This window comes from Homo sapiens, chromosome 12 (assembly GCF_000001405.40).
Source record: "Homo sapiens chromosome 12, GRCh38.p14 Primary Assembly".
Lineage (NCBI taxonomy): Eukaryota > Metazoa > Chordata > Mammalia > Primates > Hominidae > Homo > Homo sapiens.
In genome coordinates, this window is record NC_000012.12 from 24,911,380 (window position 1) to 24,934,210 (window position 22,831).

Sequence of the window (22,831 nt, forward strand, 5' to 3'; positions counted from 1 at the left end):
CTACACAGGCAACCCCCTGGGAGCAGGAGCTATGCCCTCCTCTCCCCTCAGGACCCTGCTCGAAGTTTGTGACAGCGTGGCAGGGTGACACACAGAATGAGCACGTGCCAATCTATGTGAGTTAAATACAAATACAGTTTAATCTTTCCCACATGTTAGAGGAAAAATAAACATAAGTTCTTCTGACATTCCAGTGGAGTCTGTTGCATATCTCAATATATACACACCACGATGAAACTCACTCTGCGAGCAGACAAAGTGCAAATTCCTGAGCTTAGTCTGTGGGCTCCTGCACTTGCTGAATCACCTGACTCCCTCTTCCCTCCCCACCCCTCGTCCTCATTTGCACTTCCCATCTTCTTCTGCACAGGGAGGAAACCCTAAGCGTGGCAAGCCTCTAGGTCATCTCCAGGTACCTTAAAAAGGAGTGACAGATGGACAGAGAGACAAACACATGAAGATTCTGGATAAAAAGATTAGGAATTTCATTTCCTGTGTGGAAAACAATTAAGCTTATAATTTTGCGTTTTACAGAAACAGAATCACTTAACTTCTGAAAGGAGAAATTAATCCTAATTAAATGAGGCTGCTTTTTTAAAATCCAGATATTATATACTGGATTGCTTTGGAGAAAATTTTGTTTTATACCAGTACCTAAATAGCTTTTAAGAGTTCAGGTTAACCTATGCTGAGGAAATTAATAGCAAAAAGAAAAGGCCACAATCAAGACGGAAAGGATTTAAGTTTTATTAATGATTATTAAGTGCATTATTTATAGTAGAATCCACAACATATGCTCACGAAAATAAACCAGTTCTAGTAAATACATGATAAATATAAAAAATTAGAAGAGGGCTGGGCGCAGTGGCTCACACCTGTAATCCCAGCACTTTGGGAGGCCGAGGCGGGCGGATCACGAGGTCAGGAGATTGAGACCATCCTGTCTAACACGGTGAAACCCCGTCTCTACCAAAAAAGAAATACAAAAAAATTAGCCGGGCGTAGTGGTGGGCACCTGTAGTCCCAGCTACTCGGGAGGCTGAGGCAGGAGAATGGCGTGAACCAGGGAGGCAGAGCTTGCAGTGAGCCAAGATTGCGCCACTGCACTCCAGCCTGGGTGACAGAGTGAGACTCCATCTCAGAGAAGAGAAATGGTTGATGCCTGACAATGAGCAATATACATACACCCAAAGGAGAAAATGGGGCCGGGCGTGATGGCTTATGTCTGTAATCACAGCACTTTGGGAAGCTGAGGTGAGAGGATTGCTTGAGTCCAGAAGCTTGAGACTAGCCTGGACAACACAGTGAGACCCCATCTCTAAAAAAAAAAAAAAAAAATGGAGAACGTGGGTATTTGGGAAGACAGTAATCTTTTGGAAAAAGTGTTTTTCCTATGAATGTGATATATGTTCAAGAAAATAGACTGACTTATCTGATATATACCTTGTGGCAGCAAAGGGAATACTTCCCCATCACTTTCTTCAGAAGGTTGCTCAAAATCATTGACAAGGGGCAGATTAATAGGAGAAAAGTCATACAAATTTATTTGATCATAATTTTATGTGACACGAGAGCCTACAGAACGAAGACCCAAAGATATAAGGGAAACTGTCCATTTTTATGGTGAAACCCTGTCTTTACAAAAATACAAAAATTTTAATGGACAGTTTTTGTTTTGTTTTGTTTGTTTTTTTAAGAGCAAGGAGAGTATGCTTTTTAAATGCCATTGGTTCATGTGCCACAGAACCTAAAACAGCTTCAAATGGACACCAAGTAAAAAATACCAGTTTTCAGAAGTCTGTCATTATGTATTTACACAAATTACATAATCCTGTATGTATTTACAATTACAGATTATCAAGTAGATAACACAAAGTTGTAGTGTTAATGAGACAAAATAGAATAAAAACACCACAAGGAAGCCATTTGCTTATCTACCAAGCAGGACCTAGCAAGGCCGATCCTGGCATGTGCTTCAACATTGCTTGGGGACATTTATGTGACAGATGGGAAGATTTGTTCAGTCTGTGCTAGGTAAGTCTTTGACCACAGTGCAAACGTTGGCACCAAGTAGATGGTAGTTTGGCTGTCTGAGTATCTATTTGTGAAACTGGAACCCCCCTTCCACGATGGCTCAGGGTTGCCATCCAACAGGCTTTGGGCCTTTTACAACAAGAACTGGATGCAAACCCATGAGCTGGGGATGACTCACTCTATTCCCCAACAGACAATGCCCAGGCCAAAACCCTGAGCCCCCTTAGGTTAGGTTAAACAAAGTATGGAGAGCCACGTAGAAATATGATTGGACAAAAAAGGTATGGTCTAATGCTAATAGACTGAGCAGGGAAATCCAGCACAGCCTGTCTGTCTGGACCCTTCTTGCCTCTCTGAGCATGCATTTCTTCCTTCTGGGTGTGGTGCTGGACCCTCTCTGGAATGGGGGTCTTATAACCTTCAGTCAAACAAAGTGAGTCAGATAATTTCTTTATGGCCTTACACAGACAGGCTGGGGGTGGTGGAAGTTAGAGTACTATTTTTAGGTTTTATGGTTGGCTTTGGGGAAAAGGGGTTTTGTTTCTATGGCCCACTTTGGGGAAGAGGGGTTGTAGTCTTGATGGCTAGCCTCAAGGGAGAATGAAAGGTCAGAGACAGGAGAGCAGGAGCCCAACATTCCCCAGTTGAGAAATTGGGTTGGTAGATTATCTTTTTTTTTTTTTTTTGAGATGGGGTCTCACTGTATTGCCCAGGCTAGAGTGCAGTGTCATAATCTCAGCTCACTGCAAGCTCTGCCTCCCAGGCTCAGGCAATCCTCCCACATCCACCTCCCGAGGAGCTGGGACCACAGGCACATGCTACTATGCCCGGCTAATTTTTTATATTTTTGGTAGAGACAGGGTTTCACCATGTTGCTCTGGCTGGTCTCGAACTCCTGAGCTCAAGCAATTTGCCCACCTCAGCCTCCCAAAGTGCTGAGATTACAGGTGTGAACTACTGTGCCCAGCGGGTGGATTATTTTATAAGCCATTGAACTAGTCTTGCAGTCGTGAGAACAGGCCGCTCCAATTAAACGGTTAACAGTTATATCTCATTTCAGGCAGTGGTGTTGCTTCCACCAAAGTCAGGCCTCTATGAATCAAGCAATCAGATGTTTAATAAAAGGCATTTCCATGAAAACAAAAGAAAAACAAAGATTAACATCTGGAGTTGTCTATAAACTAATTTTCCTAGAGTCTCTGAAGTAGCTTCAGATTGCAGTGGCAATCTTACAGATATTTCTGGATTATAGTTTGAATCAGGTGTTCAAGTAAACCTTCTGAGTAATCCATACATCAGCTGACATGAACACTGCTCATATATTAAGTTGCTGTCATTATTTCTTCCAAAGTTTATATCAAGTTGTCTAGCTAAAGCCTGCAGGGCTTGGTGATTCCAAGACAGAAAAATGGTAGAAAAATTAGGAAACATTAGTTTGGAGACTTGTACCCAGGAAGGAATTCAGGATTCAGCCCAAATTGTAGGCAAATAACAAAAACTCAAAAAAACAATTATCAAGACTAGAATCTAATAACAAGTATGGTATAATTTTCTTCTGAAATATAATTTTCTCTTCTACAGTCATCCCAACTTTTACCCACAAAGATAATAATAATAAAACTAATTTATTTGCAAAGTCAGTTTAGTCTCTGGCATGATTATCTGCTTAAAGTGCAGTAAGAATGGTGATTTATCATGAAGGCTCTTTTTTTTTTGCTTTGATATTTTTTATTTATTATAAAAACTGAGTTTTCAACAAAGGCAGTTTAGCAGGACTATAGTTGTGAAAATAAATCTGAATGTAGCCATTCTTTAAACTTAAACTAAAAATCATTGTAGAATAAAATGTCAAGCAAGTGAAAACTTTTCTGTGATATATACAGAAATGATATAGACATAAATATCTTCACATAAACAAAAGCAAAGATCAAGAAAAAAATTAAATATCTTGGTGGGCAAGAGAAATACACAGATTAAAAAGGTTATTTTTATTTTACTTCAATGCTTCTATTGAGCACGCCTGTCAGAGCAATAGGAATTAGATAAATCTTTACATTTCTTCAGGGAATTACATACAATAAAGACACCTCTCTAGAAGAAAATATATTAGCATCATTAGACTCCTGAAAGTCATGACTTTCAATTAAGTTACACTTTTTGCTCTACCGTGAAGCTACATGCTTTATCAGAATTTTGCCAGTTGAAAGAAAATAAAGCTAACCCTGGTAAGATCCAGCACAGACACAGGTGGCAGCAAATTAGGCACAATGATGTCTGGATTTTCCTCTCAAAGTGGATTACCCATGCCTAGGAGATAACGGCTTGCAACGCAAAACAAACATTGTGGCATAAAACAGACGATATTTAAATAGATATATTTTCTACAGGGATGGCTCTTAAGTTGGCTTTGTTGGAATTTTTTCATAAGGAATCTCAGATTAAGACTTTTGAAACCTCTCAAGGGCTGGGCACAGTGGCTCACGCCTGTAATCCCAGCACTTTGGGAGGCTGAGGTGGGTGGATCACCTGAGGTCAGGAGTTCAAGACCACCCTGGGCAACATGGTGAAACCTCATCTCTACCAAAAATACAAAAAATTAGCTGGGAGTAGCAACACATGCCTGTAATCCCAGCTACTCGGGAGGCTGAAGCAGGAGAATCACTTGAATCCAGGAAGCAGAGGTTTCAGTGAGCCAAGATCTCACCACTGCACTCCAGAATGGGTGACAGAGTGAGATTCCGTGTCAAAAAAACAAACTCTTGAAGCAATGAAGCCAAGCCAAAGATTCGCCATCAGACTGTGCCTGTAAAACCTGTATGAATTGGGTGAATTGCTCTCTTTTCAACGTCTCCAAAATATCTTGAGGTCCCTGGGCCTGTCAGAAAGTGACATTCTTTACTTATTGCAAAGTTAGAAACGCTATAAAGGAATTGTGTGGGCAAGGTACCAGGTGTGTCTTTTTCCAAGTCTACTGGCTGTATAAAGTCAACCTCAATCCCTCGAAGCAGTCCGGTTGCACTCAAAAAAAAGACATTCCAGTCAAAGCCTTGGTAAAATAACCACTGTTTCCATGTGTCCAGTTACAAAAGAAAATAAGCTCTTTTTTTGTTTGTTTGCTTTTTGTTTTTTTGTTTGTTTGTTTTGAGATAGAGTCTCGCTCTTGTCCCCTAGGCTGGAGCGCAGTGGTGCGATCTCGGCTCACTGCAACCTCTGCCACCCAAGGTTCAAGCTATTCTCCTGCCTCAGCCTCCCGAGTAGCTGGGATTACAGGCGCCTGCCACCGCGCCTGGTTAATCTTTGTAGTTTTAGTAGAGACGGGGTTTCACCATCTTGGCCAGGCTGTTCTCAAACTCCTGACCTTGTGATCCACCGGCCTCGCCCTCCCAAGGTGCTGGGATTACAGGCATGAGCCACCATGCACAGCCGAAAATAGGTTCTTATTGAACTTATGCAAATAACTATATTGCCAGAAAATAAGAACACTAATGAATAGTTTCCAAATTCTGAAGAATTCAGGTAGAAAGAAAGGTAAATGTTTCCATTTTGCTCACAGAAGTATACTTTACCCCAATGCTGTAAGCTATAAATAGCTCAAAAGAAAAAAAATATTTTCTTGAGTCTGGAAAACAAAACATAAAAAAAATCAGTAATGTTTCAAACAAAAACCCTTTAAAATAGTAATTTCAATCCTTCATTCACTCAGTCCCATGTAATTCTCGTTCTCCTTGATGTTGGGTTAGCAATCTGCATGAATGCATCAGTTTTTCATTAGAGCTTTGGACTTTTTTTTTTTTTTTTTTTTTTTTTGAGGCTGGAGTGCAGTGGCGCGATCTCGGCTCACTGCAAGCTCCGTCTTGCCGCTTCGCGCCATTCTTCCGCCTCAGCCTGCCGGGTAGCTGGAACTACAGGCGCCCGCCACCACGCCCGGCTAATTTTGTTTTTGTGTTTTTAGTAGAGATGGGGTTTCACCGTGTTAGCCAGGATGGTCTCGATCTCCTGACCTCGTGATCCGCCTGCCTTGGCCTCCCAAAGTGCTGGGATTACAGGCGTGAGCCACTGCGCCCAGACGAGTTTTGGATGTTTTTACCTAGTCCAAAGGTGTGATCTCCAAAGTTATCAGAAACCTGTATTTAAGACTACTTGTCAAGGTCCCTTTCATGAATTTCCTTGAATACACAGCACTTCAGGATTTGCAAAAGGCTTTTAGAAAAAAAAATCAGAATAAAGCAATTTACTGCATATACCATGACATATCAGCCTTTTATTTTTATTTTCACTTTTTATTTTTGGAGTAATGTGGAACTTTTTAATTTGGAAGGCAAAAGGTTACAGTTAATTGAAGGCAGAAGTCAGGTTAATAAATGTTACAAAGTTGTTCTGACAGAGAGAGGGAACTTCTCTGGGCTCTCCTCCACACCAAATCAGTTGGTAGTAAGCACAAATTTGAAGAAAATTCATGTGTCAAACAAGCTGCCATCTCAAGAACTCTTAACTCTTATCCAGGAAAATCAAAGTGAGCATTGTTCCAGTCTCTTACTCTTCAATTAAGTAAATGGGAATGATTCAGCCAACAAAGTTCATGACGATAAGGTACAAGATGGTGCTAGCAAAGAGAAAGAAGCAAAGTCTCACTCCAAGGAGATGCTTTCGAAGTCCACTTTGTTCTGTGGGTTCACCTGTATTCTCAGGCAAACTACTAGGATGAAACTCCCCACCCAAGATGTGAAACCCAAGAGGAAAGAGTTGAAGGGGAAGGTCCCCATGAGAAGACAGTAAGTAAACTGCAGCGCCCTAGTCAGCAGTTTATACAGCAGGTATATATCCAGCAACTTCAGACACTGCAGAGTAGAGCTAAGTACTCTTCTAAGAACCATCGGGTGCCTGACACTACCAACGCTGACATGAATGGATGCAAGGTAACCGGCCAGTGCTCCCTAGGCTCATAGAGGACCCAACAACCACACTGGATGTCCATATCAGATTTTTAGGAATCTCATACAATGTTGGAACACATATTAACAACATATCCATATAAATATAACTCAAAGAAAGTGTAACACCATTTCTTATTTAACAACACTTCCTGTATGATTTTAACATACCAAATAAGCCTCATGTCTCTCTTGGACTTCCAGGGGTCCTATTTATTATTAATAATATATGTTAATGTATTATAGTATTATGTTCAAGTTAGTTAAGGGCAAAAATACTTAATTTTAGAATATGAAATTTGATTTTCAGAAGTATATCATATATCAAAAGTTTAAAACCCTTGCTATCAAAATAAAGATTTAAGACCTATGTTCAAAATAGAATCGCAAGTCACTGTGACCTGATCGAGGACCTGGGAACTGACTGGTTTCCTAACACATTCCTGTCCTGTGTACTTCTCTGGAAAGTCTTCCTGTATCCCCAAGAGCACAAGTTTTGCATGGTAGAGATGCTAGTTTAACATTGCATGTAATAGACTAGTTATGACACTTGATTATTACCCTGCTTGTTTATGTGTCAGCCTCCAACTGTCTAGGCAGTGACTTCATTCTCTTTGGGTTTCCAGTGCTTAGTACACAGTCAGATAAATGTGTGAGCCTCGATAAATATCTACTCAATAAATTGATTGAATATATTAATCTACCATGTTTTTGCTTAAATTAAAAATTGATCAATGGGCTGATATATTTTATAACACATGCATACACACATAAGTAGAGACAGAAAGAGAGACAGAGCAGAAAATAGATACCAGCATAAAGTCAATTGTGTTAGGCACAAAAGAACCAAATTAGATTTTAAATATGGCTATTTATTCAGGCTACTTACTGAACTGCCTTTATCTGTCTATGAGATACTTTGCCTTTTCTCCTAACTTCCTCGCATTTCTGGATAGACAGTGAAATGTCCGCAGGACTTTTCCCAAATCTTATTAAGCCATGAGTTCTGAGCTCATTAGAAGATTTTGTTTTAAGCTGTAGCTCCATTGTCCAGCTGGGTGTAAGTTCTAGCTTTATTGTCAGATAGACAATTATCTAGTATCTAGTAGATAAAGCTTGGGTAAACCACCTAATGTCTCTAAACCCCACTTTAATGTCCCTGAACCTCGGCCTCCTCCCCTGTAGGAGTCAAAAGGAAATGCAAACTACTGAACAGAATATGTCATGGTTATTTGTTCTAACATAAGGTTATCAAGCTTATAGGTAGACCCTATAATATACCAGTAAATCACATAGACTCTGGAGTGACATTGGCAGATTTAATTCCAGCAATACCACTTACTAGCTTTGCAAGGTTTGTCTAATTACTTACTGATATGGGTTAGCTATGTCTCCACACAAATCTCATCTTGAATTGTAGCTCCACGTGTTGTGGGAGGGACCCAATGGAAGATAACTGAATCATGGGGGCGGTTTCCCCCATATAGTTTCTGTGGTAGTGAATAATTGTCTCATGTTACCTGATGGTTTTATAAGGGGAAACCCCTTTCGCTTGGTTCTCATTTTCTGTCTTGCCACCACCAGGTAAGAAGTGCCTTTTGCCTTCTGCCATGATTGTGAGGCCTCCCAGCCATGTGGAAATGTGAGTCCATTAAACCTCTTTTTCTGTATAAATTACCCTGTCTTGGGTATGTCTTTATTAGCAGCATAAAAATGGACTAATACACTTACCCTCTCTGTGCTTCCATTTCTCTATCTGTAAAATAATATTAATAATAGAGTTTTATGAGAACTAAATGAGATAAATCATGTAAAGCCTATTTCAGCATCCAGGAAGATCTCAATCTGTGTCAGTTATAATTGTTAAGTTGAAGATTCATATTGAGTCTTTAGACCTTGTGAGGTAATATGGCATGTTTGGAAGCTGCGTTATTTATAATTTTAGAGAGAAGAATGAATCCACAGGAACTCCACCTCTCTGCAAACCGCACTCTGTGGCATGGCTTAATTAGAGGCCTGCTGCAGGGCTGAGAAGTAATGCTTGACCTTAGATGCTCCATAAATCCTCTTGGCAAACTGACCACTCCAGATTTTTATTTTTATTTTCATTTTTTATTTTTGGGGTAGCATATTTTATTTTTGGAGTGTTTCTACCACTATACTAAGAGGGGCTGTTTCCCGAAAAACTCTCAAACCATTTTTCCTCTGCTCTCACACAAAAACAATCAACACGGAAGACTTCTGGACCCCAAAATATATAGGGATTTCTCCCCAGCAGGAAGCAAGCAATCAGTTCTGCAGTGGACACAAGCTAGGTGTCCTCCAATTCAGCTCCAACACTGTCTACCCAGAGATAGCATCAGATCCACAAGTTGAGGGCTCAGTCCCACAAGAGCACCCCGTCCTTCCAACCAGTCATAAGTTCAGGTCTCTGGAACTGCTGACCAACAGGTTTCAAGTTGGGGTTGCCATGACCCCCTCTTCCGGTTTGATTAATTTGCTAGCGTGGTTCACAGAACTGAGGAAGACACTTACATCTACCAGTTTATCACTCAGGATATTTTTTAAAATACAAATAAAAGCCAATGAAGAGATACAAGGTCCAAGTCTGGAAGGGTTCTGAGCACAGGAGCTTTTGTCCTCGTGGAGTTGGGATGTGCCACCCTCCCAGCATGTGAATGAATTTTTGCTTACCTTCCCGTGACCCTCCACGTGTTCAGCACAGGAGGCTCACGGGAAGGTAAAAAACACTTCTTAGAAGCTCCCCAGTCCATTCCCTTTGGATTTTCATGGAGGCTTCATTACATAGGCATGACTGATTAAACCACTGGCCATTGGTGATCAACTTGACCAGCCCCACTCTGAAGCTATCAGTCAACACTAATATACAAAAAGACAGCACTTTGGAGATTCCAAGGATTTTTAGTACTTGTATGCCAGGAAACAGGAACAAAGACCACATATATGTATTTCACAATATCACAGGGACACTGGCTTTTTTTAGGCCTTTCCTCAGATCGCTAGAGCAGCATACAGGAAAACCAGTTTTCCACTAGGGTTCCTTAGATGTTCAGACTTGGTGTGATCCTCCAGTGAGTTAAAACATACCTCCTCCAAAAGTCTGATTCATTTATCTCTCTACTTAGAAAAAACTGCTATGGAAACTCTTTTTCACCAATGATGATGACATACATTTTTCCCAGTAATGTAAGCCCAATATATGCCAGTCTCAATTTACAAGACAGATACATCATAGGATCTTTGATACACATACCTAGGAAGATCTTTGAATTACTTAATAAAACATTCAGGAATATTCCCTCCACCCCAGAGCTGACAAGGAACAACAGTTATAGAAAAATAGTTGTAGAGGCAGTGAATATTTAAGATGGGTTGGTACCTTTTGTTTTAATAGCTTCCATTAGTCACAACTTGATAAACTGTAACATTCCTTTCTAAATCTGCTTCCTGCTCCTTCCTCACCTCTGTCATTTTCTGCAGCAGAATATGTAGTACACATTGGCTCTATAAATTGCCAGGTGCACATCAAAGGAAAGCATGAAAAAAATAGTAATGAAAAAGTAAACCTCCCAAAGGACTTCGTCGTTAGATAAGAAAACTAGCACACATGTGCACACATACACACATACACACACACATACACACTTTAATGAAAGAACTAGGGGTCCTGATAAGCTGGCACATAAACCTGTTGTTCCCATCAAATGAATAATCAAAGATTTGAGAGTTAATTTGAGTGACTGTGTCAGTATTATTCCAACAAAGACATGAGCACACACGCAAACACAAGATTGTTCCTTTTTTTTGAGACAGACTCTCATTACATTGTCCAGGCTGGAGTCCAGTGGCTATTGATAGACGTGATCATAGCGTACTACAGCCTTGAACTCCTAGGCTCAAGCGATCCACCTGCCTCAGTCCCCCAAGTAGCTGGGACTACAGGCATGTGCCACCTTGCCCAGCTACAAGATGGTTTTTACCTGAAGAGTTAATATGATCCGTAATAATAACCACCCACTGTATGACTCATCCTACATCCGGCCCCTAGTTTCACACATATTTCACCATATTTTTCATACTTAAAACAACCCTATAAGGTAGATATCATCATTATTATAGCAACCCATTTTACATATGAGAAAATTGGAAGCAGTTTGGTGATTCTCTAAGTTGATTCACAGGACTCAATACTTTCGACTATAATTTATTACAGGATAAAAATTATGGCCAGGCACAGTGGCCCAGGCCTATAATTCCAGCACTTTGGGAGGCCGAGGCAGGCGGATCACGAGGTCAGGAGATCAAGACCATCCTGGCCAACATGGTGAAACCCCGTCTCTACTAAAAATACAAAAATTAGCCGGTGTGGCAGCGCGCGCCTGTAGTCCCAGCTACTCGGGAGGCTGAGGCAGGAGAATTGCTTGAATCCAGGAGGCAGAGGCTGCAGTGAGCCGACATGGGGCCACTGAACTCCAGTCTGGGCAACAGAGTAAGACTCTGTCTCTCAAAAAAAAAAAAAAAAATTTACAAGGCAAAAATCAGCAAAAGGAAAAGGCACATGGGACAAAGGAAATCAGACATGTGCTTCCCAGAGTCCTCTCCCAGTGGAGTCACACAGGATGCACTTAACTCCTCCAGCAATGAGTTGTGATAATATGTGTAAAATATTACTTACTAGGGAATCTCATTAGACACTCAGTGCCCAAGGTTTTTATGTGGGGCTGTCATGTAAACACCCCTACCTAGCACATCCTAAAATTCCAGACTCCCAGAAGGAAGCAGATGTTCAGCAGAAACTTCATTGTTTGTACAAATATTTTAGGCATCGTGAGCCATTCTTTTCAGGGAATGGTGAGAACCCTCCAGAAATTCAAGTTCCCAGACACCAGACAAGGGCCAACTTTGCAAGCCTTTCTAAGACTAGCAGCCTCAGGCCTGCTTTAATTCTTTTCTACACAGGAGTAGACTGAGAAGCCTTGGTCAACTGTGCAGAAGCAGAGGACGGGGCTGTCACTGAGCAAGGGACATGAAGCATTCAAGTGTGTGTATATATATATTTTAGACAGGGTCTCTCTCTGTCACCCAGGCTCCCAGGCTGGAGTGCAGTGGCACAATCTCAGATCACTGCAACCTCTGCCTCCCAGGATTCTCCTGCCTCAACCTCCTGAGTAGCTGGGACTACAGGCGTGCACCACCATGCCTGGCTAATTTTTTGTTTGTTTTTTGTAGAGTTGAGGTTTTGCCATGTTGCCCAGCCTGGTCTCAAACTCCTGAGCCCAAGCGATCCTCCCACCTCGGCTTCCCATAGTGCTGGAATTACAGGCATAAGCCACCATGCCCGGCCTTCAAGTATATTTCTTATGCTCAAATCAGAGAGAACCAAACTGAGTATCAAGAAGATTGATTGCCTTGACCAAAGTAACACACCTGTCTGCAGAGGGAGAGCTGGTACTAGAACCCAGGTCTTCAGACCACACAGGGCAATTAACAAATATCAGAGTGAAAAGCAGAATCTGCTCAGTCCATCCCCTTCTCTGCCATTAGTGAAGATACTGATCAATTAATTTAATTTTTATTCATACACTATAAGGATTTATTAAAAATCAAACAAAACAAAACAATACAAGTTGATTTTTCACAGGTGGCTTTTTAATCTGCATGATGGCATAATTACAGCACTAGACATTTTCAACCGATTATGTCGATAATATACATTCTCGTTTCCTCCCTTTTTTTCCCCTCAGCTTTCTGACCCATCCTCCCTTTTCTAGAGTGAGAAGACCATAAATTACCAATGATTTATTGAAAAATACTGCCTTTGAGTAATTCTTAGTAACTTGTAAGAAAATAACAGTAACAAATTATAATGAGAGGAGGGAGAGAAAGAGAACCCCTTCTTTACACAAGAATGCTACTCAATGCCAAGAATGATATAATTAGATCAGTTAATGCTAAAGTCATCAGAAGAAAGGTTGTCAGAGAATGGGATATTTACACAGTCTCAAAGTCTTGTGCCACAAATTACATATTAATTTAAAAGGAGAAAATGTCCCTTTACAAGAGTGAGAAATGGTGGCGACCACCTTCACCAGCTAATCAAACTTAACATGACTAATGCAGGAACCAATGCATATCATGTGTCTTTGATGCAGGGCAATTAGGAGTACACAACCTCACTTCAGTGTTATTCTTGCCAAGAATTAGAGCCTGGCTCTAATCATAAAGATAAAATTAGAGAAATTCAGGATGTGAAATAGCCAATGAGCCTGAATTATTCAAAACAATGTCATTAAAAAAAATAGCAGCAAAAACACACAAATATTGATCCGTATTAAAAGAAACATAACTATAAAGAGTAATATGTAAACAAAACAAACACATTTTGAGGTCAGCTAGGGAAAATTATATATGAACCAGATATGACATGATCTCTCTGAATTAATACTAATCTTCTTAGGTGTGCTATGTAGGAGAATGTCCCATATGAAGTATTTAGATAGGAAATATCACAACCATAATTTATTTTCATATGATTCAGTACTTGGGAGAAAGAGAAAGCATATAGAAAGGTTAACCATTGGGTGAATCCGTTGATAAATGACGGATTCAAAAACAGTTGTTTTTTGAAACAGTAGTTCTTTCATCTCTACAGAGTGATGGTTAATTTCATGTGTCTGCTTGGCTAAGCTATAGTGCCCAATTGCTTAGACAACACAAGTTCAAATGTTGCTGTGAAAGTATTTTTTAGATGTGATTACCATTTAAATCAGCAGACTTTGAGTAAAGCAGATTGCCCTCAATGTGGGAGGGCTTCATCCAATTAGTTGAAGGCCTTAACAGCAAAAAAGACGGAGGTTTCCTGAAGAAGGAATTTGGCCTCAGGACTGCAATTGCAATAGATACTGTACCTGACCTGCCCTGCAAATTTCAGACTCACGACTGCAACATCAACTCTTACCAGAATTTCCAGCTGACCAACTTGCCCTATGGATTTCAGACTTGCCAGCTCCCACAATCACATGAACCAATTCCTTAAAATAAATCTCTCTCTCTCGATCTCTTGATAGATAGATAGAAAGATTATAGATATAGATATAGATAAAGATATAAATATAGATATAGATATGCCCTATTGGTTCTGTTTCCCTGGAGAACCCTGCCTAACACAATAGGTTTGGAAATTGCTAAATAAAAAATTGCAGCTCCCCCTCCCCCTCTCCCTCTCCCCACGGTCTCCCTCTCCCTCTCTTTCCACGGTCTCCCTCTGATGCCAAGCCGAAGCTGGACTGTACTGCTGCCATCTCTGCTCACTGCAACCTCCCTGCCTGATTGTCCTGCCTCAGCCTGCCGAGTGCCTGTGATTGCAGGCGCGCGCCACCATGCCTGACTGGTTTTCGTATTTTTTTGGTGGAGACGGGGTTTCGCTGTGTTGGCCGGGCTGGTCTCCAGCTCCTAACCGGGAGTGATCTGCCAGCCTCGGCCTCCCGAGGTGCCGGGATTGCAGACGGAGTCTCGTTCACTCAGTGCTCAATGTTGCCCAAGCTGGAGTGTAGTGGCGTGATCTCGGCTCGCTACAACCTCCACCTCCCAGCCGCCTGCCTTGGCCTCCCAAAGTGCCGAGATTGCAGCCTCTGCCCGGCCGCCACCCCATCTGGGAAGTGAGGAGCTTCTCTGCCTGGCTGCCCATCGTCTGGGATGTGAGGAGCCCCTCTGCCTGGCTGCCCAGTCTGGGAAGTGAGGAGCGCCTCTTCCCGGCTGCCATCCCGTCTAGGAAGTGAGGAGCGTCTCTGCCCGGCCGCCCATCGTCTGAGATGTGGGGAGCGCCTCTGCCCTGCTGCCCCGTCTGGGAGGTGAGGAGCGCCTCTGCCCGGCCGCCCCGTCTGAGAAGTGAGGAGCCCCTCCACCCGGCAGCCGCCCCATCTGAGAAGTAAAGAGCCCCTCCGCCCAGCAGCCACCCCGTCTGGGAAGTTGGGGGCAGCCCCCGCCTGGCCAGCCGCCCCGTCCGGGAGGGAGGTTGGGGGTGCCTCTGCCAGGCCACCCCTTCTGGGAAGTGAGGAGCCCCTCTGCCCGGCCGCCACCCCGTCTGGGAGGTGTACCCAACAGCTCATTGAGAACGGGCCATGATGACAATGGCGGTTTTGTGGAATAGAAAAGGGGGAAATGTGGGGAAAAGATAGAGAAATCAGATTGTTGCTGTGTCTGTGTAGAAAGAAGTAGACATAGGAGACTCCATTTTGTTCTGTACTAAGAAAAATTCTTCTGCCTTGGGATGCTGTTGATCTATGACCTTACCCCCAACCCGGTGCTCTCTGAAACATGTGCTGTGTCCACTCAGGGTTAAATGGATTAAGGGCGGTGCAAGATGTGCTTTGTTAAACAGATGCTTGAAGGCAGCATGCTCTTTAAGAGTCATCACCACTCCCTAATCTCAAGTACCCAGGGACACAAACACTGCGGAAGGCCGCAGGGTCCTCTGCCTAGGAAAACCAGAGACCTTTGTTCACTCGTTTATCTGCTGACCTTCCCTCCACTATTGTCCTATGACCCTGCCAAATCCCCCTCTGCGAGAAACACCCAAGAATGATCAATTAAAAAAAAAAAAACTGCAGACAAATTTTTAAAATCCTCACTTGTATGTTACATGTGGGACAGAATAATTTTAAAAAACACATATAATCTCCAAACCCCAGTTCAACTATAAGTTATAATCTTTTCTCCCTGATTAAGATTTGTATTTGAAACAATAGTCATTTGCTTTGAGTTAAATTTCATCTCTTGGATGATAATGAAATGAGTAAAAATCAAGTTATAAGATGTCTGTAATCCCGGCTATTTGGGAAGGTGAGGTGGGAGAATCACTTGAACCCAGGAGATGGAGGCAGCAATGAGACGAGATTGTGCCACTGTACTCCAGCCTGGGTGACAAAGTGAGACTCTGTCTCGAAAAAAAAAGAAAAGAAAAGAAAAGAAAAAAATCAAGTTATAAGAGAGAAACAGAAGAATGCAAGGTGATCTACATAGACAAGCTACATAGCAATACTGGAAAAACCTAGAATGTTATTTTTCCTTAAAAATCTACCAGTGACTCCAATTAAACATGGTAGACTGAACACATGAATCTTTCTCCACATCTTTTTAGATATTCACTTAAACAAATACCATTGTCTTTTAAAGTTTAAACCATAAGGGAAAGAGAATGGGAAACATGATAATGAGTGACATTAACACATTTTGGAAGGTAGAAAGCTGACAGTAGAGAAGGAACTAACTCTGTAGATTAGAAAGAACTGAAACTGTATTGCACAAAGAAGGAGATACTGATGAGAAGCCACCTTTCCCTCATCTCAGAAAGTCTCAGAATAGAGAATCCAGGTGTTTCCAAAGGTGAGGCTGAAAACAGGGACTTTTGATGCAAATCTATATAACCATTCATTGAATGACCTTGACTTGGGAGAGTACAACCAGAAATAGTTTTATTTTTCTCTCATTACTGCCCTTCACACCCACTTTCAAAAATCTACCATCCCTATCTGGAGAAGATCACACTGATCCTATTGAGTTTCCAGTCACTTTTAAGTATTAGGAAAATCTTGCTGCAAGTACTTAAAAGACCGGTATGATCTGTAATAAAACTTTGACCTCACATTGCATTCAATGCTTTACTGTCTGAGCAGCCACCACCACCAGCCCCCAGCAAGCTGAGGTTGTTAACATCTGTAAAAGAAAACAAAATTCTTAAAACTCTCTAAAATTATTTATTATGCCAAGGGAGAAGTTAAGTACTGGAAACTGAGTCACATAGCATGTTTGCAATTCTGCTTCTTAGGTTATAGATTCACTCTCTTCTCATCGTTCTAGTTCTGTAAATGACTAGGAGAGACCAGAGACCAGACCTTCCCCCTTCACTGATCTTTGTTATGGATTAATGGATTAACTGCCTCCTTTATTGTCCTGTACCTAACTCACACCAGTTGGCACAAAAGACCCCATGGGATGAGCACAGTAGCCCATGCCTGTAATCCAGGCACTTTGGGAGGCTGAGGCAGGAGAATTGTTTGAGTCCAGGAGTTTGAGACCAGCCTGGGCAAAAGGGGGATCTGGTCTCTATAAGAAATAAAAAATAAATTAGCCGGGTGTGGTGGCACATGACTGTGGTCCCAGCTAGTCGGGAGACTGAGGTGGTAGGATCACTTGAGCCCACAAAATCGAAGCTGCAGCGAGCTGTGATTGTGCCATGCCAGCCTGCAATACAGAGCGAGACAGTCTCAAAAAAAAAAAAAAAAAACCAAGAAAAACGAAAATACAAACCCATGACTGTTACACCTTCAGTGTGAAATGTTTGTTGTTGTTGTTGTTGTTGTTGTTGTTGTTGTTGTTGTTGTTGTTTGAGATGGAGTTTCATTCTTGTTGCCCAGGCTGGAGTGCAATGGTGCAATCTCAGCTCACCACAACCTCTGCCTCCCAGGTTCAAGCAATTCTCCTGCCTCAGCTTCCCAAGTAGCTGGGATTACAGGCACGTGCACCATGCCCGGCTAATTTTTTTTATTTTATTTTATTTTATTGTATTGTATTTTTAGTAGAGAAGGGGTTTCCCCATATTGGCCAGGCTGGCCTCGAACTCCTGACCTCAGATGATCTGCCCGCCTCGGCCTCCCAAAGTGCTGAGATTACAGGCATGAACCACCGCTCCCAGCCCGTGAAATGTTAAATATGCCTTTCTCAAATGAAAGTGACCACCTTGACTAATCAGATCATTGTAACTAGGCATTAAGCCTTACACAGAAAGATGTTGAAATTCTGTTAAGCTTCCCTAAACTCTCTCTCTATAAACAATCCCAAACTTCTAAAGTTCAGAACGCTGACTTCCATTCTTTGGGATCCGTGTTTCCCTAGCACTGTCCTTAAACTTTGCACTTGAATAAAGTATCTTTAAACTAGATTCTGACCCTTTTGATTATTTTAGGTTGGCACATCCAACAGAAATGGGGTTCCTGTTTTTTCAGCATTGGAGCTCAGGACGCACCATCCCAAAATATGACCAGAATATGCCACATCAGGATATGCTTATTTGATGTATTTCCAGTTAGTTATTCTGAGACACTGTAGACACAGGAGTAGCTCTGAAAAACTGTCTTTTTGTAAACAAAATTTATATCTATAAAGAAAAAAACTTTGATAAGAATCTCATCAACCAGGGAAGATTTTATCACCAGGGAGAAGATTGGACAGGTAGACCTTGTCACAGGCTATTACCTATTCTTCTGATGGGGGACTCTGAGACAACTTTTATCACCTGAGAGACTTTTTATCTGCATAACAAGACAACCTATGCTTGCTATACACTTCCTCTCCTCACCCTCTTATAACCTGTCACCACCTCCCCTCAATAAGCCCCAAGCCCTGATTCCTTTTCTGTAGCTCAGGAATACTATATAAACTTCAATCATCTGGCCTTTCTTTGAGTCTCATATTTTATGGGACTCCCATGTGTACGCACAAAATAAATTTATGTCTTTTCTCCTATTTATCTTTCTACTGTCAGTTTACTTCATAAACTCAGTTATGAAAAGGGTAAAGAAAGTTTTCTCTCTCCCACATCACTTTCCTCTCCATTCTCCAGCTGCTGTTTCCAGGACCCACGGGGTTAAGTGTGGACCATGAATTAGAGGAAATGGTTAAAAATCTCATTTGTCTGTGACCATTATAATCTGGCACTGGGGGCCCTCTCCTATGGCAAATGCCCAAATTCTGGCTTTCTATTGCATCATGGTCACTTACGGATTCTTCACAACCTCCCCTCCCCCTTGTCCTCACCTCCTGTGGAGACCACTGCCTTGCACAGCCCCACTGCAATGATGCACATTCTGTCTCACCTCTAAGGATTCTCCTTCAACCCCAGCTCTGGCATTATTCCCTACACAGCCTCTGACCCCTGGGGTCTCCTTGCCCCAGCAAGTAGCCTTCTTAGACAGTGTCCTTTTGAGGTGTTTCTATGACACCTTTCCTCAGAGTTCACATAGTTCATGACGTCTTTGCTCTACTAAACTCTGGAACTGCAAACTGCACCCACTGAAGACCCCTCTCTTGACTCTAACCACAGGCAGCACCAGCCAGCCTTGACTGTCCCAGGGCAGAGCTGACACTGCTATGTTCCGTACACCAGTGGCACAAGTCAAGTGTTCGCAAGCTACAGATCCTCTAGGCAAAGCATTTCTCACTTAATTTTTAGTGAATGCCCTGTTGGGGGAATGGGAGAATCACTTTTTTACCTCTTCCAGGGTAAAGAAGTTTCCAGAAATGCCAAGCTCTCCTTGCTTGGCTGACAATTTTTTATTTCCAAATAATCTTATTTCCTTTCTGTTCAATTTCCAGCCTTCTATTAAATATAAATTGGAGATAAGTTAGAGGCTAAAGCTTGCAGAATTAGTTTAGTCATCCTTTAGAAGGTTCTTTAGATGTGTCAAACGTGTTTGGAATTTGGAGGTAGTATCCCTCCATGCTCCGCACTGAAGCCTCAGTGGAACAGGGCCCTTTTTTTTTTTTTTTTTTTTTTGAGATAGAGTCTTGCTCTGTCACCCAGGTTGGAGTACAATGGCACACAATCTCAGCTCACTACAACCTCCACCTCCCAGGTTCTGGTGATTCTCCTGTCTCAGCCTCCCAAGTAGCTGGGACTACAGGAGCCCACCACCACGCCTGGCTAAGTTTTTGTATTTTTAGTAGAGACAGGGTTTCATCATGTTGGCCAGACTGGTCTTGAGCTCCTGACCTCAGGTGATCCACTCCCCGCTCAGCCTTCCAAAGTGCTGGGATTACAGGTGTGAGCCACTGCACCTGGCCCAGGATGCTATTTTTTTAAAGGATTAATCAGAAGAAATATGAAGAGTAAAATTTTAAAATTCAGGGGAAAGGCTGAAAGATAACATTGATGAGATCTTTCTCCCACCTCAAAAATTGGACACTAGGAGAGAAAAATTAAATTAGAAGATCAAACAAGGAGGTCTAATGTCAAACAAATAGAAGTTTAAGAATGAGAAAAGAGGGAAAGCAGAGGAGACGAAATCATCAAAGATATAGGAAAGGAAAATTTTCTAGGATGAATGACTAAGGACCCATGTTATGATAAAGCTCCCCAAATTAGCAATAAAAAGAGACCCTGAATACCTCAAGGAACAAAAAACAGGTTACACATAAAAAGGACCTGAAATACGAGCCCCTTTGGACTTCCTATCAGTAACACAGGAAACTAGACAACAGAAAAGCAATTCCCTTAAAATTCTGACGAAAAATCATTTCTAACCTAGGATATTATTCAAAATCAAGTATTAACCTAGAGCAAAAGTAGAACAAAAAGTCAGGCATGTAAGGAATCAAAACATCTACCTCTGATGCACTCTTTATCTAAAAACAACTAGAGCATACGTGCAACACAAATGAGGAAGTAAAGTAAAAAGGAGAACGCCACACGATTCAGAAAACCGGGGATGTAACACAGAGAGAGGGTAAAAGATGCCAAGAGGAAGTCTTAGGCAGGCAGCTGTGCAGCTGGCTCAGAGAGAAACCAGCACAAATTAGTGCAAGAATGAGAATGGTAGCAGAAAGAGTACAGAGACAAAAAAGAAAATGAACTGTCAGATACATTTAACCTAAGTAAAATTACATTGAGAGGCTGTCAGGAAGTTGGGAATTGGAAAGAATTCATAATAAATATATAGTAAGGTAAGTAAATAAAAGGAAATAATGCAAGAATTAACTGCAGGAAAAACAAAATGAGGTATAAGGGGAAAAAAATGTAACCATAGTACACTACTTGACTCACCAGTGACTTTTAAAAATGGAATTCCATCTACTACTCAAAACCTCTCAGGGGCATTTCACCACACTTAGAATAAAATCCACACTTACCAGGACTAAGGAACTTCAATGATGTGGCTCCACTCCTGAAATCTCCCCTCTCAGATTATGCTCTGGGAAGTTTCATTTGCTGTTCCATATGCATGGGACACTCTTACCTCCAGACCATGGTACTCAGGTGTCAGCTGAAAGTTCACCTTTTCTGTGAAGCTTTCCCTGACCAGTCAGTATAAATTTGTACCAGCTTTCTCTCAGTTCTGTCACTACTGCATCATTTCATTTTATTCATATTGCATCACTGACTGAAAATATTTGATATGTTACTATATGAGGATAAATTGTAATAATATTAGTTAATACTTACAGTACTTACATAGTACTTATTTCAGACCAGACCCTGTTATAAGTGCTTTATATTTGTTTTTGGATCTTTGTTGCAGACTGTCTCCTTCTATCGCACAGGCTGGAGTGCAGTGGCACAATCTTAACTCACTGCAACCTCCACCTCCTGGGTTCAAGTGATTCTCCTGCCTCAGCCTCCTGAGTAGCTGGGATTACAGGTGTGTGCCACCATGCCTGGTTAATTTTTTTGGTTTTTTTGTTTTGTTTTGAGATGGAGTCTCGCTCCGTCGCCCAGGCTGGAGTGCAGTGGCGCAACCTCGGCTCACTGCAACTTCTGCCTCCCAGGTTCAAGTGATTCTCCTGCCTCAGCCTCCCGAGTAGCTGGGACTACAGGTGCCCACCACCACACTTGGCTAATTTTTGTATTTTTAGTAGAGACGGGGATTCACCATATTGGCCAGGCTGGTCTCAAACTCCTGACCTTGTGATCCACCCGCCTCGGCCTCCCAAAGTGCTGGGATTACAAGCATGAGCCACCACGCCTGGCCTTTTTTTTTTTTTTTTTTTTTTTTTTTTTTTGTATTTTAAGCAGAGATGAGGTTTCGCTATGTTGGCCAGGCAGGTCTCAGGCTTCTAACCTCAAGTAACCCTCGGGCCTCAGCCTCCCAATGTGCCGAGATTACAGGTGTGCACCACTGTGCCTGGCAACATGTTATTTTATTTAATCCTCACATCATCCATGAGAGGTGGGTTGTACTAATACCACCATTTCATAAACAAAAAAACTGAGGCACAGTTTAATAACTTGCTGGTGGTCACTCAATAGCAAAGCTGGGGCTCACACACCTGCAGTCCAGTCCCAGTTTGTGCTCATAACCATGTGTTATATGGCCTTTCCCTGCAAGTTGCAGGAGAGCTGCAACTTTACCTGCTCTTCACCCTCTGATATGGTTTGGTTTGGCTCTGTGTCCCTACTCAAACCTCATGTGGAATTTTAATCCCCTCACGCCAGGGGAGGAACCTGGTCGAAGGTGATTGGATCTTGGGGGTGAATAGTGAGTGAGTTCTCACTTAAGTGGCTATGTTTTCTGGGGTATATACCCCAGGTTCATCCTCTCATGCCGGGAAAATTCAGAACAGACACACACAGGGAGTTTAGGAGCACAGGTTAATAGGCAGAAGAAGGAGAAAGGAAAACAGCCCTCTCTCTAATGAGAGAGAGGGGACTTCTGAGAGGAAACACCGGCGGGTGGCGAATGCACCAGATTTTATAGTCAGGCTTGAGGAGGTGGTGTCTGATTTACATAGGGCTCACAGATTGGTTCAATCAGGTATGATGTTCACATAGCGCACTGGGAAGGCTGGTCACCCCACCCTAATCTTATTATGCACATGAATTCTCCTCTTGGCCGGCACCAGCTTGTCTGCTCCTTACTGTACACTTGGCTGGCAGAGAAGGGAAAATGGAGCCGCCATCTTAACGTGTCTGGTTCCTAGTTTCTGCCGGCATTCACCCGTGCAAGCTCCCAGCTTGCTTGTCTATGTGTGGGGCTGCTTTTCATTTAAAAGAAAAGCCTTACCAAGGACTCCCGTACCCTCACTATCTACCTAAGTGATTTCTTCTTAACTCCTATATCATCATAAGATCT

At 42.1% G+C, this 22,831-nt stretch overlaps 1 protein-coding gene and 1 pseudogene across 13 annotated transcripts in view, besides 4 other annotated features; both read right to left on the reverse strand.

Annotated features, from left to right (window-relative positions):
- The window catches only part of BCAT1 (branched chain amino acid transaminase 1), a 139,317-nt gene that overhangs the window by 101,356 nt on the left and 15,130 nt on the right, over positions 1-22,831 (reverse strand). The gene's annotated exons all lie outside the window — the stretch shown is intronic.
- Positions 76-370: a silencer, noted in NCBI's record as "tiled region #2351; K562 Repressive non-DNase unmatched - State 14:Gen5'". NCBI's record gives its function as "represses a minimal TATA promoter and a strong SV40 promoter by Sharpr-MPRA in K562 cells {active_cell/tissue: K562}" and the evidence as "EXISTENCE:reporter gene assay evidence [ECO:0000049][PMID:27701403]".
- On the reverse strand, positions 6,323-7,005 carry DAD1P1 (defender against cell death 1 pseudogene 1; annotated as a pseudogene).
- Positions 14,041-14,658: an enhancer, noted in NCBI's record as "H3K27ac-H3K4me1 hESC enhancer chr12:25078354-25078971 (GRCh37/hg19 assembly coordinates)". NCBI's record gives its function as "activates a minimal SCP1, AML or CMV promoter by ChIP-STARR-seq in primed H9 embryonic stem cells {active_cell/tissue: H9 hESC(primed)}" and the evidence as "EXISTENCE:reporter gene assay evidence [ECO:0000049][PMID:30033119]".
- Positions 15,894-16,509: an enhancer, noted in NCBI's record as "H3K27ac hESC enhancer chr12:25080207-25080822 (GRCh37/hg19 assembly coordinates)". NCBI's record gives its function as "activates a minimal SCP1, AML or CMV promoter by ChIP-STARR-seq in primed H9 embryonic stem cells {active_cell/tissue: H9 hESC(primed)}" and the evidence as "EXISTENCE:reporter gene assay evidence [ECO:0000049][PMID:30033119]".
- Positions 20,185-20,374: an enhancer, noted in NCBI's record as "active region_6105". NCBI's record gives its function as "activates an Ori minimal core promoter by ATAC-STARR-seq in GM12878 lymphoblastoid cells {active_cell/tissue: GM12878}" and the evidence as "EXISTENCE:reporter gene assay evidence [ECO:0000049][PMID:35858748]".